At 42.5% G+C, this 14163-nt stretch overlaps 2 annotated features.

The window, feature by feature from the left end:
* Window positions 3520-4021: an enhancer, noted in NCBI's record as "H3K27ac hESC enhancer chr8:94982395-94982896 (GRCh37/hg19 assembly coordinates)". NCBI's record gives its function as "activates a minimal SCP1, AML or CMV promoter by ChIP-STARR-seq in primed H9 embryonic stem cells {active_cell/tissue: H9 hESC(primed)}" and the evidence as "EXISTENCE:reporter gene assay evidence [ECO:0000049][PMID:30033119]".
* Window positions 4649-4718: a silencer, noted in NCBI's record as "silent region_19363". NCBI's record gives its function as "represses an Ori minimal core promoter by ATAC-STARR-seq in GM12878 lymphoblastoid cells {active_cell/tissue: GM12878}" and the evidence as "EXISTENCE:reporter gene assay evidence [ECO:0000049][PMID:35858748]".

Below are 14163 nucleotides of genomic sequence, written 5' to 3'. Positions count from 1 at the left end.
CAAGGTGCCAAAAACAGCCACTCCCAATCACTGCTGCTGAGATAGTGAGATAGTTAATTGATGCAACTTTTTGGAAAGCAATTTAGGAATACGTAACAAATGTTTAAAGATGGATATACCTTTTGACTCAGTTATTCCATTACTTGGATTTATCTTAAATAAATAATTAAGAATGTGCAGTCCATTTCAATATTAGTTATAAGAAGAAAATATTGGCCGGGTGCAGTGGCTCATGCCTGTAATCCAAGTACTTTGGGAGGCCGAGGTGCGTGGATCACCTGAGGTCAGGAGTTTGAGACCAGCCTGACCAACATGGTGAAACCCCACCTCTACTAAAAATACAAAAATCAGCCGGGCGTGGTGGCACATGCCTGTAATCTCAGCTACTTGGGAGGCTGAGGCAGCAGAATTGCTTGAACCCGGGAGGCAGAGGTTGCAGTGAGCCAAGATTGTGCCATTGCACTCCAACCTGGGCAAGAAGAGCAAAACTCCATCTCAAAAAAAAAGAAGAAAATATTGAAAACACCCTAAAATGTCCAACATTGGGAAACAATCAAATATATGTGCACAAATAATATTTATGGTTATTAAAAATTATATCATAAAAGATTCATTTTCTCCTTTGTGCTTTTATCTCTTAAACTTTTCTATAATTTACAGGGATTACTTCTGGAATTAGGGGAAAAAAATCAACGGAAAATGTTTAGAGTTTATGAAAACATTTACAAAACTTCACAAAATAACACAAGGAATAAGTATCAAAAATAAAAATTATGCAAGGCATATGCTTTGGACACTATGTAACAAAATTAAAAAGTAATATGGTACTGTATGTATAAACTGCTCCAGCCAGGAGGGATGCAAATAATATCACATTTTCAATTAACTAGAACTGGTTTGAGACCCCACATTGCAGACTGGCAGGAGTCATGGACTTCATTCTTGGGGCTTCCCCTTTTCCACTGTGGGTCTCTTGCAGTCATCAAGGAGTTTACCAAAAAGGAAAATCAACAGGCTTTTATCCTCAAGCAGAGAACAATCTGGATTTATTCAGTTGCTGCTGCATTTGCCATAGTTGTTCCTTGATACACAAGGCACATTTTCCAGCCCAGGTTTCTTCTATCTATCCCGCACTTCTGGTCCCTGTTGTCCCAGAGTTGCCCTATCAGTCACAGTCCTTCAAAGGGCCACAGGGTTGTCAGCAAACCCATTTCTTTGAGGTGAAACTTCCTTCTCCTTGCATGGGCCCCAGGATCGCAGCTCTTGGTATGTGGACCAGTCTGTCACCCACAGCTACTTTTCTCCAAGGTCCTACCACTCTAGAGATGTTTTGCAAAAGGGGGTGCCATCCTCCTCTCTTCCTAAAATCTGTCTCTCTTCTAGGACCTGGGGACAACATCAAAGGCTGGGGAGGTTTTTTTTTGTTTTTTTGTTTGTTTGTTTTGTCCATTCGTGTCGCCCAGGCTGGAGTGCAGTGGCACAATCTCAGCTCACTGCAACCTCTGCCTCCCAGGTTCAAGCGATTCTCCTGCCTCAGCCTCCTAAGTAGCTGGGATTACAGGCGCCCACCACCATGCCCAGCTAATTTTTGTATTTTTAGTAGAAACAGGTTTTCGTCATGTTCGTCAGGCTGCTCTGGAACTCCTGATCTCAGGTAATCCGCCTGCCTCAGCCTCCGAAAGTGCTGGGATTACAGGCATGAGCCACCACACCTGGCCGGGAGCTTTATTTTTCATCCACCATCACATACTCCCACATCCTTCTCTTGAATTAAACTGTCATAACATTCCTTTCTTTTATAATGCTCCTTGATTGTCTATCATGAAATGTCAAACTTTAGAAATGCACACAAAAACACAGGTGACCAAATTTTTAAAAGCGAGCAAAAGATTTTAAGTAACATGTCACAAAAAAATATTCAGATGCTCAATGAACATATGAGAAAGTGCTTGCTTTCCTTAGCCATTAAAGAAATTGATTTTAAAACCACATCCATCAGAATGGCAAAAATGAAAATGAAAGTACCAACTATTAGAGAGGAAACTATTAGAGAGAGGGCAGTCATAACTCTCTGAGACTATTGTTGAAAGTATAAATTAGTTACAACTGGGTGCAGTGGCTCATGCCTGTAATCCCAGCACTTTGGGAGGCCAAGGTGAGCAGATCATTTGAGGTCAGGAGTTCAAAAACAGCCTGGCCAACATGATGAAACCCCGTCTCTACTAAAAATACAAAAATTAGCCAGGCGTGGTGGTAGGCGCCTGCAATCCCAGCTACTTGAGAGGCTGAGGCAAGAGAATCATTTGAGCTCAGGAGTCGGAGGCTGCAGTAAGCCAAGATCGCACCACTGCACTCCAGCCTGGGAGACAGAGCAAAGCTCTGTCTCAAAAAAAAACAAAAACAAAACAAAAAATTAGTTACTAACCGCTTTGGAAAACTGGCAGTTTCTACCATACATGAACATATGACCCACTAATTCCACTTCTAGGTGTATACTTAACAGAAATGCAAAAGTATATTCACCAAAAGACGTGTACTAAAATTTTCATAATTGTACTATTCTCTTTTTTTAATTAAAAACTTTGTTATAATAGAGATAAGGTCTCGCTTAAGTTGCCCACACTGGTCGTGAACTCCTGGACTCAAGCGACCTGCCTGCCTCGGCCTCCCAAAGTGCTGAGATTACAGGCATGAGCCACTACAATCCAGTCATGTACTATTCTTAAAAGCAAAAATGGGCCCCCTCCCCCTCCCCCTCTCCCTCTCCCTCTCCCCGGTCTCCCTCTGATGCCACCAAAGTTGTGAAAGCCGAGGCTGGACTGTACTGCCGCCATCTCGGCTCACTGCAACCTCCCTGCCTGATTCTCCTGCCTCAGCCTGCAGGGTGCCTGGGATTGCAGGCGTGCGCAGCCACAACTGACTAGTTTTTGCATTTTTTTGGTGGAGATGGGGTTTCGCAGTGTTGGCTGGGCTGGTCTCCAGCTCCTGACCGCGAGTGATCTGCCTGTCTCGGCCTCCCAAGGTGCCGGGATTGCAGACGGAGTCTCTCTCACTCAGTGCTGAATGTTGCCCAGGCTGGAGTGCAGTGGCGTGATCTCGGCTCGCTACAACCTCCACCTCCCAGCTGCCTGCCTTGGCCTCCCAAAGTGCCGAGACTGCAGCCTCTGCCCGGCCGCCACCCCGTCTGGGAAGTGAGGAGTGTTTCTGCCCAGCCGCCCATCGTCTGAGATGTGGGGAGCGCCTCTGCCCCACCGCCCCATCTGGGATGTGAGGAGCGCCTCTGCCCGGCCGCGACCCCGTCTGGGAACTGAGGAGTGTCTCTGCCCGACCGCCACTCCATCAGGGAGGTGAGGAGTGTCTCTGCCCAGCCGCCCCGTCTGAGAAGTGAGGAGCCCCTCCACCCAGCAGCCGCCCCGTCTGGGAAGTGAGGAGCCCCTCCACCCAGCAGCCGCCCCGTCCAGGAGGTGGGGCACAGCCCCCGCCCGGCCAGCCGCCCTGTCCAGGAGGGAGGTGGGGGGCAGCCCCCGCCCGGCCACTGCCCCATCTCGGAGGTGGGGGGCACCTCTGCCCAGCCACCCCATCTGGGAAGTGAGGAGCCCCTCTGCCTGGCCGCCACCCCGTCTGGGAGGTGTACCCAACAGCTCATTGAGAACGGGCCATGATGACGATGGCAGTTTTGTCGAATAGAAAAGGGGGAAATGTGGGGAAAAGAAAGAGAGATCAGATTGTTACTGTGTCTGTGTAGAAAGAAGTAGACATGGGAGACTCCATTTTGTTCTGTACTAAGAAAAATTCTTCTGCCTTGGGATGCTGTTAATCTATAACCTTACCCCCAACCCCCTGCTCTCTGAAACATGTGCTGTGTCCACTCAGGGTTAAATGGATTAAGGGCGGTGCAAGATGTGCTTTGTTAAACAGATGCTTGAAGGCAAAAAAAAAAAGCAAAAATGGAAAATTATCCAAATGCCCATTAATCAAGACTGGATAAATAAATGGTAGGATATTCACCCAATGGAATACTATATGGCAATGAAAATAAATGATCTGCTTTAACAAAGTTGACAAGCAATGGGGAAAGGCCTTTCTATTCAATAAATTGTGCTGGCATAACTGGCTAGCCAAACATAGAGGAATGAAACTGGACCCCTACCTTTCACCATATACAAAAATTAACCCGAGATAGATTAAAGACTTAAATGTAAGACATAAAACTAGAGATCTGTTCCAAGATGGCCGAATAGGAACAGCTCCAGTCTGCAGCTCCCAGTGTGATCAACACAGAAGACGGGTGATATCTGCATTTCCAACTGAGGTACCTGGTTCATCTCACTGGGACAAGTTGGACAGTAGGTGCAACCCACGGAGGGTGAGCTGAAGCAGGGCAGGGCTTCACCTCATCTGGGAAGCACAAGGGGTTAGGGGACTTTCCTTTCCTATCCAAGGGAAGCTGTGACAGACTGTACCTGGAAAAATGGGACACTCCCACCTAAATACTGCACTTTTCCCAAGGTCTTAACAACTGGCAGACAAGGAGATTCTCTCCCATGTCTGCCTGAGTGGGTCCCACACCCACAGAGCCTTGCTCACTGCTAGCACAGCAGTCTGAGATTGACCTGCAAGGCACGAGCTGGTGGGAGGAGGGGCGTCCACCATTGCTGAGGCTTGAGTATGTAAACAAAGCAGCCAGGAAGCTTGAACAGGGCGGAGCCCACCGCAGATCAGCAAGGCCTACTGCATCTAGACTCCATCTCAGTGGGCAGGGCTTAGCTGTACAAAAGGCAGCAGACAACTTCTACAGACTTAAACGTCCCTGTCTGACAGCTCTGAAGAGAGCAGTGGTTCTCCCAACATGGCATTTGAGTTCTGAGAATGGAGAGACTGCCTCCTTAAGTGGGTCTCTGACCCCCATGTAGCCTAACTGGGAGACACCTCCCAGTAGGGGCCGACAGACACCTCATATAGGCAGGTGCCCCTCTGGGACGAAGCTTCCAGAGGAAGGATCAGGCAGCAGTATTTGCTGTTCTGCAATATTTGCTGTTCTGCAGCCTCTGCTGGTGATACTCAGGCAAACAGGTTCTGGAGTGGACCTCCAGCAAACTCCAACAGACCTGCAGCTGAGGGACACGACTATTCAAAGGAAAACTAACAAACAGAGAGGAATAGCATCAACATCAACAAAAAGGACATCTACACCAAAACCCCACCTGTAGGTCACCAACATCAAAGACCAAAGGTAGACAAAAACAAAAAGATGGGAAGAAACCAGAGCAGAAAAGCCGAAAATTGTAAAAATCAGAGCACCTCCTCTCCTCCAAAGGATTGCAGCTCCTTGCCAGCAACAAAACAAAGCTGGATGGAGAATGACTTTGATGAGTTGACAGAAGTAGGCTTCAGAAGGTCAGTAGTAATAAACTTCTCCGAGCTAAAGGAGCATGTTTGAACCCATAGCAAGGAAGCTAAAAACCTTGAAAAAAGGTTAGATGAATGGCTAACTAGAATAAACAGTGTAGAGAAGACCTTAAATGACCTGATGGAGCTGAAAACCATGGCACGAGAACTTCGTGATGCATGCACAAGCTTCAATAGCTGATTCGGTCAAGTGGAAGAAAGGGTATCAGTGACTGAAGATCAAATTAATGAAATAAAGCAAAAAGACAAGGTTAGAGAAAAAAGAGTAAAAAGAAATGAACAAAGCCTCCAAGAAATATGGGACTATGTGAAAAGACCAAATCTACATTTGATTGGTGTACCTGAAAGTGATGGGGAAAATGGAACCAAGTTGGGAAACACTCTTTAGGATATTATCCAGGATAACTTCCCCAACCTAGAAAGGCAGGCCAACATTCAAATTCAGGAAATACAGAGAACACCACTAAGATATTCCTCAAGAAATTGTCAGATTCACCAAGGTTGAAATGAAGGAAAAAATGTTAAGGGCAGCCAGAGAGAAAGGTCGAGTTACCTACAAAGGGAAGCCCATCAGACTAACAGTGGATCTCTCTACAGAAACCCTACAAGCCAGAAGACAGTGGGGGCCAATATTCAACATTCTTAAAGAAAAGAATTTTCAACCCAGAATTTCATATCTAGCCAAACTGAGCTTCATAAGTGAAGGAGAAATAAAATCCTTTACAGACAAGCAAATGCTGAGAGATTTTGTCACCACCAGGCCTGCCTTACAAGAGCTCTTGAAGGAAGCACTAAACATGGAAAGGAACAATCAGTACCAGCCACTGCAAAAACATGCCAAATTGTAAAGACCATCGATGCTAGGAAGAAACTATATCAATTAACAGGCAAAATAACCAGCTAACATCATAATGACAGGATCAAATTCACACATAACAATATTAACCTTAAATGTAAATGGGCTAAATGCCCCAATTAAAAGACACAGACTGGCAAATTGGATAAAGAGTCAAGACCCATCAGTGTGCTGTTGGGAGACCCATCTCACGTGCAGAGAAACACATAGGCTCAAAATAAAAGGATGGAGGAAGATCTACCAAGCAAATGGAAAGCAAAAAAAAGCAGGGGTTGCAATGCTAGTCTCTCATAAAACAGACTTTAAACCAACAAAGATCAAGGAGACAAAGAAGGGCATTACATAACGGTAAACGGATCAATTCAACAAAAACAGCTAACTATCCTAAATATATATGGACCCAACACAGGAGCATCCAAATTCATAAAGCAAGTCCTTAGAGACCTACAAAGAGACTTAGACTCCCACACAATAATAATGGGAGACTTTAACATCCGCTGTCAACATTAGACAGATCAATGAGATAGAAGGTTAACAAGGATATCCAGGACTTGAACTCAGCTCTGCACCAAGCGGACCTAATAGAAATCTACAGAACTCTCCACCCCAAATCAACAGAATATACATTCTTCTCAGCAGCACATCACACTTATTCTAAAATTGACCACATAATTGGAAGTAAAGCACTCCTAGGCAAATGTAAAAGAACAGAAATGACAACAAACTGTCTCTCAGACCACAGTGCAATCAAATTAGAACTCAGGATTAAGAAACTCACTCAAAACCACACAACAACATGGAAACTGAACAACCTGCTCCTGAATGACTACTGGGTAAATAACGAAATGAAGGCAGAAATAAAGATGTTCTTGGAAACCAGTGAGAACAAAGACACAACCTACCAGAATCTCTGGGACACATTTAAAGCCATGTGTGGAGGGAAATTTATAGCACTAAATGCCCACAAGAGAAAGCAGGAAAGATGTAAAATTGACACCCTAACATTACAATTAAAAGAACTAGAGAAGAAAGAGCAAACACATTCAAAAGCTAACAGAAGGCAAGAAATAACTAAGATCAGAGCAGAACTGAAAGAGATAGAGACACAAAAAACCCTTCAAAAAAAATCAATGAATCCAGGAGCTGGTTTTTTGAAAAGATCAACAAAATTGATAGGCCACTAGCAAGACTAATAAAGAAGAAAAGAGAGAAGAATCAAATAGATGCAATAAAAAATGATAAAGGGGATATGACCACTGATTCCACAGAAATACAAATTACCATCACAGAATACTATAAACACCTCTATGCAAATAAACTAGAAAATCAAGAAGAAATGGATAAATTCCTGGACACATACACCCTCCCAAGACTGAACCAGGAAGAAGTTGAATATCTGAATAGACCAATAACAGGCTCTGAAATTGAGGCAATAATTAATAGCCTACCAACCAAAAATAGTCCAGGACCAGATGGATTCACAGTTGAATTCTACCACAGGTACAAAGAGGAGCTGGTACCATTCCTTCTGAAACTATTCCAATCAACAGAAAAAGAGGGAATCCTCCCTAACTCATTTTATGAGGCCAACATCATCCTGATACCAAAGCCTGGCAGAGACACAACAACAACAAAAAAGAGAATTTTTTTTGTTGTTCAATATCCCTGATGAACATCTATGCGAAAATCCTCAATAAAATACTGGCAAACTGAATCCAGCAGCACATCAAAAAGCTTATCCACCACAATCAGGTCAGCTTCATCCCTGGGATACAAGGCTGCTTCAACATACGCAAATCAATAAACGTAATCCATCACATAAACAGAACCAACAACAAAAAACCCATGATTATCTCAATAGATGCAGAAAAGACCTTTGACAAAATTTAGCAGCCCTTCATGCTAAAAACTCTCAATAAACTAGGTATTGATGGAACATATCTCAAAATAATAAGAGCTATTTATGACAAACCCACAGCCAATATCATACTGAATGAGCAAAAACTGGAAGCATTCCCTTTGAAAACTGGCACAAGACAGGGATACCCTCTCTCACCATTCCTATTCAACATAGTGTTGGAAGTTTTGGCCAGGACAATCAGGCAGGAGAAAGAAATAAAGGGTATTCAATTAGGAAAAGAGGAAGTCAAATCGTCCCTGTTTGCAGATGACATGATTGTATATTTAGAAAATCCCATTGTCTCAGCCCCAAATCTCCTTAAGCTGATAAGCAACTTCAGCAAAGTCTCAGGATACGAAATCAATGTGCAAAAATCAAAAGCACTCCTATACACCAATAACAGACAAACAAAGAGCCAAATCATGAGTGAACTACCATTCACAATTGCTACAAAGAGAATAAAATACATAGGAATCCAACTTACAAGGGATGTGAAGGACCTCTTCAAGGAGAACTACAAACCACTGCTCAATGACACAAACAAATGGAAGAACATTTCATGCTCATGGATAAGAAGAATCAATGTCATGAAAATGGCCATACTGCCCAAGGTAATTTATAGATTCAATGCCATTCCCATCAAGCTACCAAAGACTTTCTTCACAGAACTGGAAAAAACTACGTTAATGTTCATATGGAACTAAAAAAGAGCCCACATTGCCAAGACAATCCTAAGCAAAAAGAGCAAAGTTGGAGGCATCACGCTGCCTGACTTAAAACTATTCTACAAGGCTACAGTAATCAAAACAGCATGGTACTGGTACCAAAACAGAGAGAGAGAGACCAATAGAACACAAGAGAGGCCTCAGAAATAACACGACACATCTATAACCATCTGATCTTTGACAAACCTGACAAAAACAAAAATGGGGAAAGGATTCCCTATTTAATAAATGGTGCTAGGAAAACTGGCTAGCCATATGTAGAAAGCTGAAACTGGATCCCTTCCTTACACCTTATACAAAAATTAATTCAAGATGGATTAAAGACTTAAATGTTAGACCTAAAACTATAAACACCCTAGAAGAAAACCTAGGCAATACCATTCAGGACATAGGCATGGGCAAGGACTTCATGTCCAAAACACCAAAAGCAATGGCAACAAAAGCCAAAATAGACAAATGGGATCTAATTAAACTAAAGAGCTTCTGCACAGCAAAAGAAACTACCATCAGTGTGAACAGGCAACCCACAGAATGGGAGAAAATTTTTACAATCTACCCATCTGACAAAGGGCTAATATCCAGAATCTACAAAGAACTCAAACAAATTTACAAGAAAAAAAAAACAATCCCATCAAAAAGTGGGCAAAGGATATGAACAGACACTTCTCAACAGAAGACATTTATGCAGCCAACAGACACATGAAAAAAAGCTCATCATCACTGGCCATCAGAGAAATGCAAATCAAAATCACAATGAGATATCATCTCGTGCCAGTTAGAATGGCAATCTTTAAAATGTAAACAACAGATGCTGGAGAGGATGTGGAGAAATAGGAACACTTTTACACTGTTGGTGGGAGTGTAAACTAGTTCAACCATTGTGGAAGACAGTGTGGTGATTCTTCAAGGATCTAGAACTAGAAATACCATTTGACCCAGCCATCCCATTACTGGGTATATACCCAAAGGATTATAAATCATGCTACTATAAAGATACATGCACACTCATGTTTATTGCAGCACTATTCACAATATCAAAGACTTGGAACCAACCCAAATATCCATCAATGATAGACTGCATTAAGAAAATGTGGCACATATACACCATGGAATACTATGCAGCCATAAAAAAGGATGAGTTCATGTCCTTTGCAGGGACATGGATGAAGCTGGAAACCATCATTCTCAGCAAACCATCACAAGGACAGAAAACCAAACACGACATGTTCCCACTCATAGGTGGGAATTGAACAACGAGATCACTTGGACACAGGGTGGGGAACATCACACACTGGGGCCTGTCAGGGGGTGGGGGTGCTGGGGGAGGGATAGCATTAGGAGAAATACCCAATGTAAATGACGAGTTGATGGGTGCAGCAAACCAACCTGGCATATGTATACCTATGTATCAAAACTGCACGTTGTGCACACGTATCCTAGAACTTAAAGTATAATTTAAAAAAAAGAAAAAAAAGACATAAAACTATAAAAATTCTAGAATAAAACCTAGGAAATATCATTCTAGACATCAACCTTGGCAAAGAATTTATGATTAAGTCCTCAAAAGCAATTGCAACAAAAAAATTAACAGGTGGGACCTAATTAAGCTAAAGAGCTTCTGCATAGCAAAAGAAACTATCAACAGAATGAACAGACAACCTACAGAATGGGAGAAAATATTCACAAACTAATATGCAGAATCTAAAAGGAATTTAAATAATTCAACAAGCAAAACACAAACAACCTGCTTTAAGAGTGGGCGAAGGACACACACACTTCTCAGAAGACATACATGTGGCTAACAAACATACGAAAAAATGCTCAGCATCACTAGAGAAATGTTAATCAAAAACATAGTGTGACATCTCATACCAGTCAGAATGGCTGTTATTAAAAAGTCAAAAAATAACAGATGTGGGCAAGGTTGCAGAGAAAAGAGAATGCTTATACATTCTTGGTAGGAATGTAAATCCACTCAGCCACTGTGAAAAGCAGTTTTGAGATTTCTCAAGTAACTTAAGACAGAACAACCATTCAACCCAGCAATCCCATTACTGGGTACATACCTAATGGCAAATAAATCACTCTACCAAAGACACATGCACTTGTATGTTCATCACAGCACTATTCACAATGGCAATGACATGGAATCAACCTAGATGCCCATCAATGGTGGACTAGATAAAGAAAATGTGGTACATATACACCATGGAATATTACACAGCCACAGAAAAGAACAAAATCATGTCCCTTGCAGCAACATGGATGCAGCTGGAGGCCATCATCATAAGTGAATTAATGCAGGAACAGAAAACCCAGTATCACATGTTCTCACTTATAAGTGGTAGCTGAACACTGAGTATACATGGATATAAGGATGGGAAAAATAGACACTGGGGACTACCAGAGAGGGGAAAGAGGAAGGGAAGCAAGGGTTGAAAAACTATTAATACCTATTAGGTACAATGCTCACTACCAGGGTGACAGGATCATTCACACCCCAAACCTCAGTATCACACAGTTTACCCATGTAACAAACTTGCACATGTACCCCTGAACCTAAAAGCTGAAATAAAAAAAATTAAAGTTGCTCCTGCTTTGCCTTCCACCATTAGTAAAAGCTCCCTGAGGCCTCGCCACAAGCAGATGCCACCACGTTTCCTGTATAGCCTGCAGAGCTATGATCCAGTTAAGCCGCTTTTCTTACAAATTAAAATCATAATAGGCCGGGCGCGGTGGCTCATGCCTGTAATCCCAACACTTTGGGAGGCCAAGGTGGGTGGCTCAAGAGGTCAGGATTTCAAGACCAGCCTGACCAAGATGGTGAAACCCCATCTGTACTAAAAATACAAAAATTAGCCCGGCACAGTGGCAGGCACCTGTAATCCCAGCTACTTGGGAGGCTGAGGCAGGAAAATTGCTTGAACCCAGGAGGCGGAGGTTGTGGGGAGCTGAGATAGCACCACTGTACTCCAGCCTGGGTGACAAAGTGAGACTCTGTCTCAAAAAAAAATAAAGAAATGCTGATATTGTCTGTTTCTTGACCTGGGTGCTGGTGACATGAACGTGTTCACTTTGTTAAAATTCACTGAGCTGCACATCTTTGATATGTGCACTTTTGGGTATATTATACTGCAATAAATTTTTTAAAATGTTACCTCATTTTGTGGTCACAATCATATGATAGAGCTATTATGTCTACTATACAGATGAATACGTTGAGGCTCAAAGAAATTAAATAATTTACTCAAGGTCATACTGAAAGTATGTGGTAGAGCCTGAATTGGAACTAAAGTCTGTTGAAATCCAAGGTCGTGCTGAAAGATTACTCTGGCCTTTCTTAAGGTTCGATTTGATCCTTCCCAAAAATCTTCATAACTGTGTCTTTTCTCTACCTGTCTGCTTTCCTAGAGGTTCCATGCCTTTTTATTTTACCAAGAAAATTCCTATCAGTTTTCAAGGATCAGCTTAATTCCCCTCCTCTGTGAAGTCTGCCCTGATACCTCTCCCCATCCCCAGCTGTTTGCAATAGGGATCCAAAACTCACACGCCAGCAGAGGTGCAGCAGATATTAAATGGGGAAAGCAGCTGGATGTGTCACAGGGGGAAGTGAAGTCTGTGACAAAATTGCAGAGGGCAAACCCCACCTGGAGGAAACAACAGCTACTCAGTTTCAGCCAATTGCTGCAACTCAGGAATGCAATGTCAAGATGGCAGAAGTCTGGACTGGTATATAAAATCTTCCTTTTAAATGCTGCCTTTTAAAAATTAAAACAAAAAGTACCATCCGTGTCAGCGAAACATAGCATGTCTGAGGCTGGATTTAGCTTATGGATCCAAAATTTGCAATCTCTGCTTAGAGCTTGGCAAGATTAGACGAGACCCAGCTGATTAAAAACTGACCAACCTCTTCCCTTGAGGTTTGCCTTCTCCCTGCTAGAAGCATTCTTTACATATGGCAGATGGGAGCTGTCTATTAAAATTCCAAGCTTTCATTCTTATCTTCACTTGTAGCCCCCAAAACCTGAGAGGAAGAACTGACAGAAGCATCGTGGGTCCCCCCAAAGCCACCACCATCCCTTAATGTCCTACGATGTACTCGAAGAAGCATGAGAGAAAAAAAGCAGCATTTGAAATAGAATGAAAACTGCCACATTGGGGCAGTATAACTACATCCTGCTGGCAATTGCCAACCACCTGGGCTTCTCAGGCCCAACCCCAAATCCCTGGAGGAGCCTGCCTGATAAATAAAGCAGGCCAAGAGGTGGAGGCTTATAGAGGGTGAAGTATCAATTTAGGACACTATGTTCTCTAGTTTAGAGCAAAAATTGAACTTGAAAATAGCTGGATCCATTTGGTGAGAAAGGATCAGGAAGGGGATTAGAGGAAAACACATTATGAAAGAATCTTACTGGTGTTTTTCCCTTGGGGATTCCTTGCCACTTGCTGTTGGGCTTTGGAAACAACCCAAGTAGAATTTGCTTTTATTAGCAACAAAAAGCCAATTTCTTTTTCCTATTCAATGGAGGGGGAAAATGAATAAACAGACCTGGGCCTACAAAAAGGTCAAAAATTTCCAAAAGTGTACTGTTAGGCCAATCGTTTGAAAGTTGGAATGCATTTTTGCACAGAACCAAAGTGTTATCTAAGAATTAGATTTTCATGAATGTGTCAAAAGAACCTAGTTAGCCCATAATGAAACTAAAATATTAATTTTGCAATTGAGAAGAAAAGAAAGTAATGTCTTAAGAAAGAAGAAAACAGAGCAAACATATTGAATAATTCAGTAATCATTTATTAAATATTTGCTTTGTGCAAGATGCAGTTGATTTGAGCGTGATGTTTAGGAGATCAGCTGTGGCCTAGCAGAGCAGGTTTAGTGGATGAGAGTAACAGAAGCCTGCTTAAAGTGGGTGAAGAAGGAGGAGGAGGTGAGAGAGCAGAGCCAAGTTCTTTATAGGACCTCCATTGGGGAAAAAGAATGTTCTCCTGATAGCTGGAGGAAGATTCAGGTCCAAGGTGTTAAAACTGTTGGTATTCTCTGTTATGCTTTTAGGCTGCTAGAAAGAAGTAAACATAGAGGGAAAGGCAGAAATACAGGTAAAATAGGCAGTATCAACTGATATATGTCCTTGTGCAAAGACTATTAGTTATTCCCTACGGTCTGATCTCTGCCTCCCTTCCTTAGGAAGAGAGCCCTTATTTCAATGCACCTAGCTAGAAGACTACTTCCCCAGCCTCTTTTGTAGCTATGTGTAGCCTTGTGACTAAGT

Source organism: Homo sapiens, chromosome 8, assembly GCF_000001405.40.
Source record: "Homo sapiens chromosome 8, GRCh38.p14 Primary Assembly".
Taxonomy (NCBI): domain Eukaryota; kingdom Metazoa; phylum Chordata; class Mammalia; order Primates; family Hominidae; genus Homo; species Homo sapiens.
The sequence above is the reverse complement of the archived record's forward strand: the minus strand, read 5'-3'. Positions and strand labels throughout refer to the sequence as shown.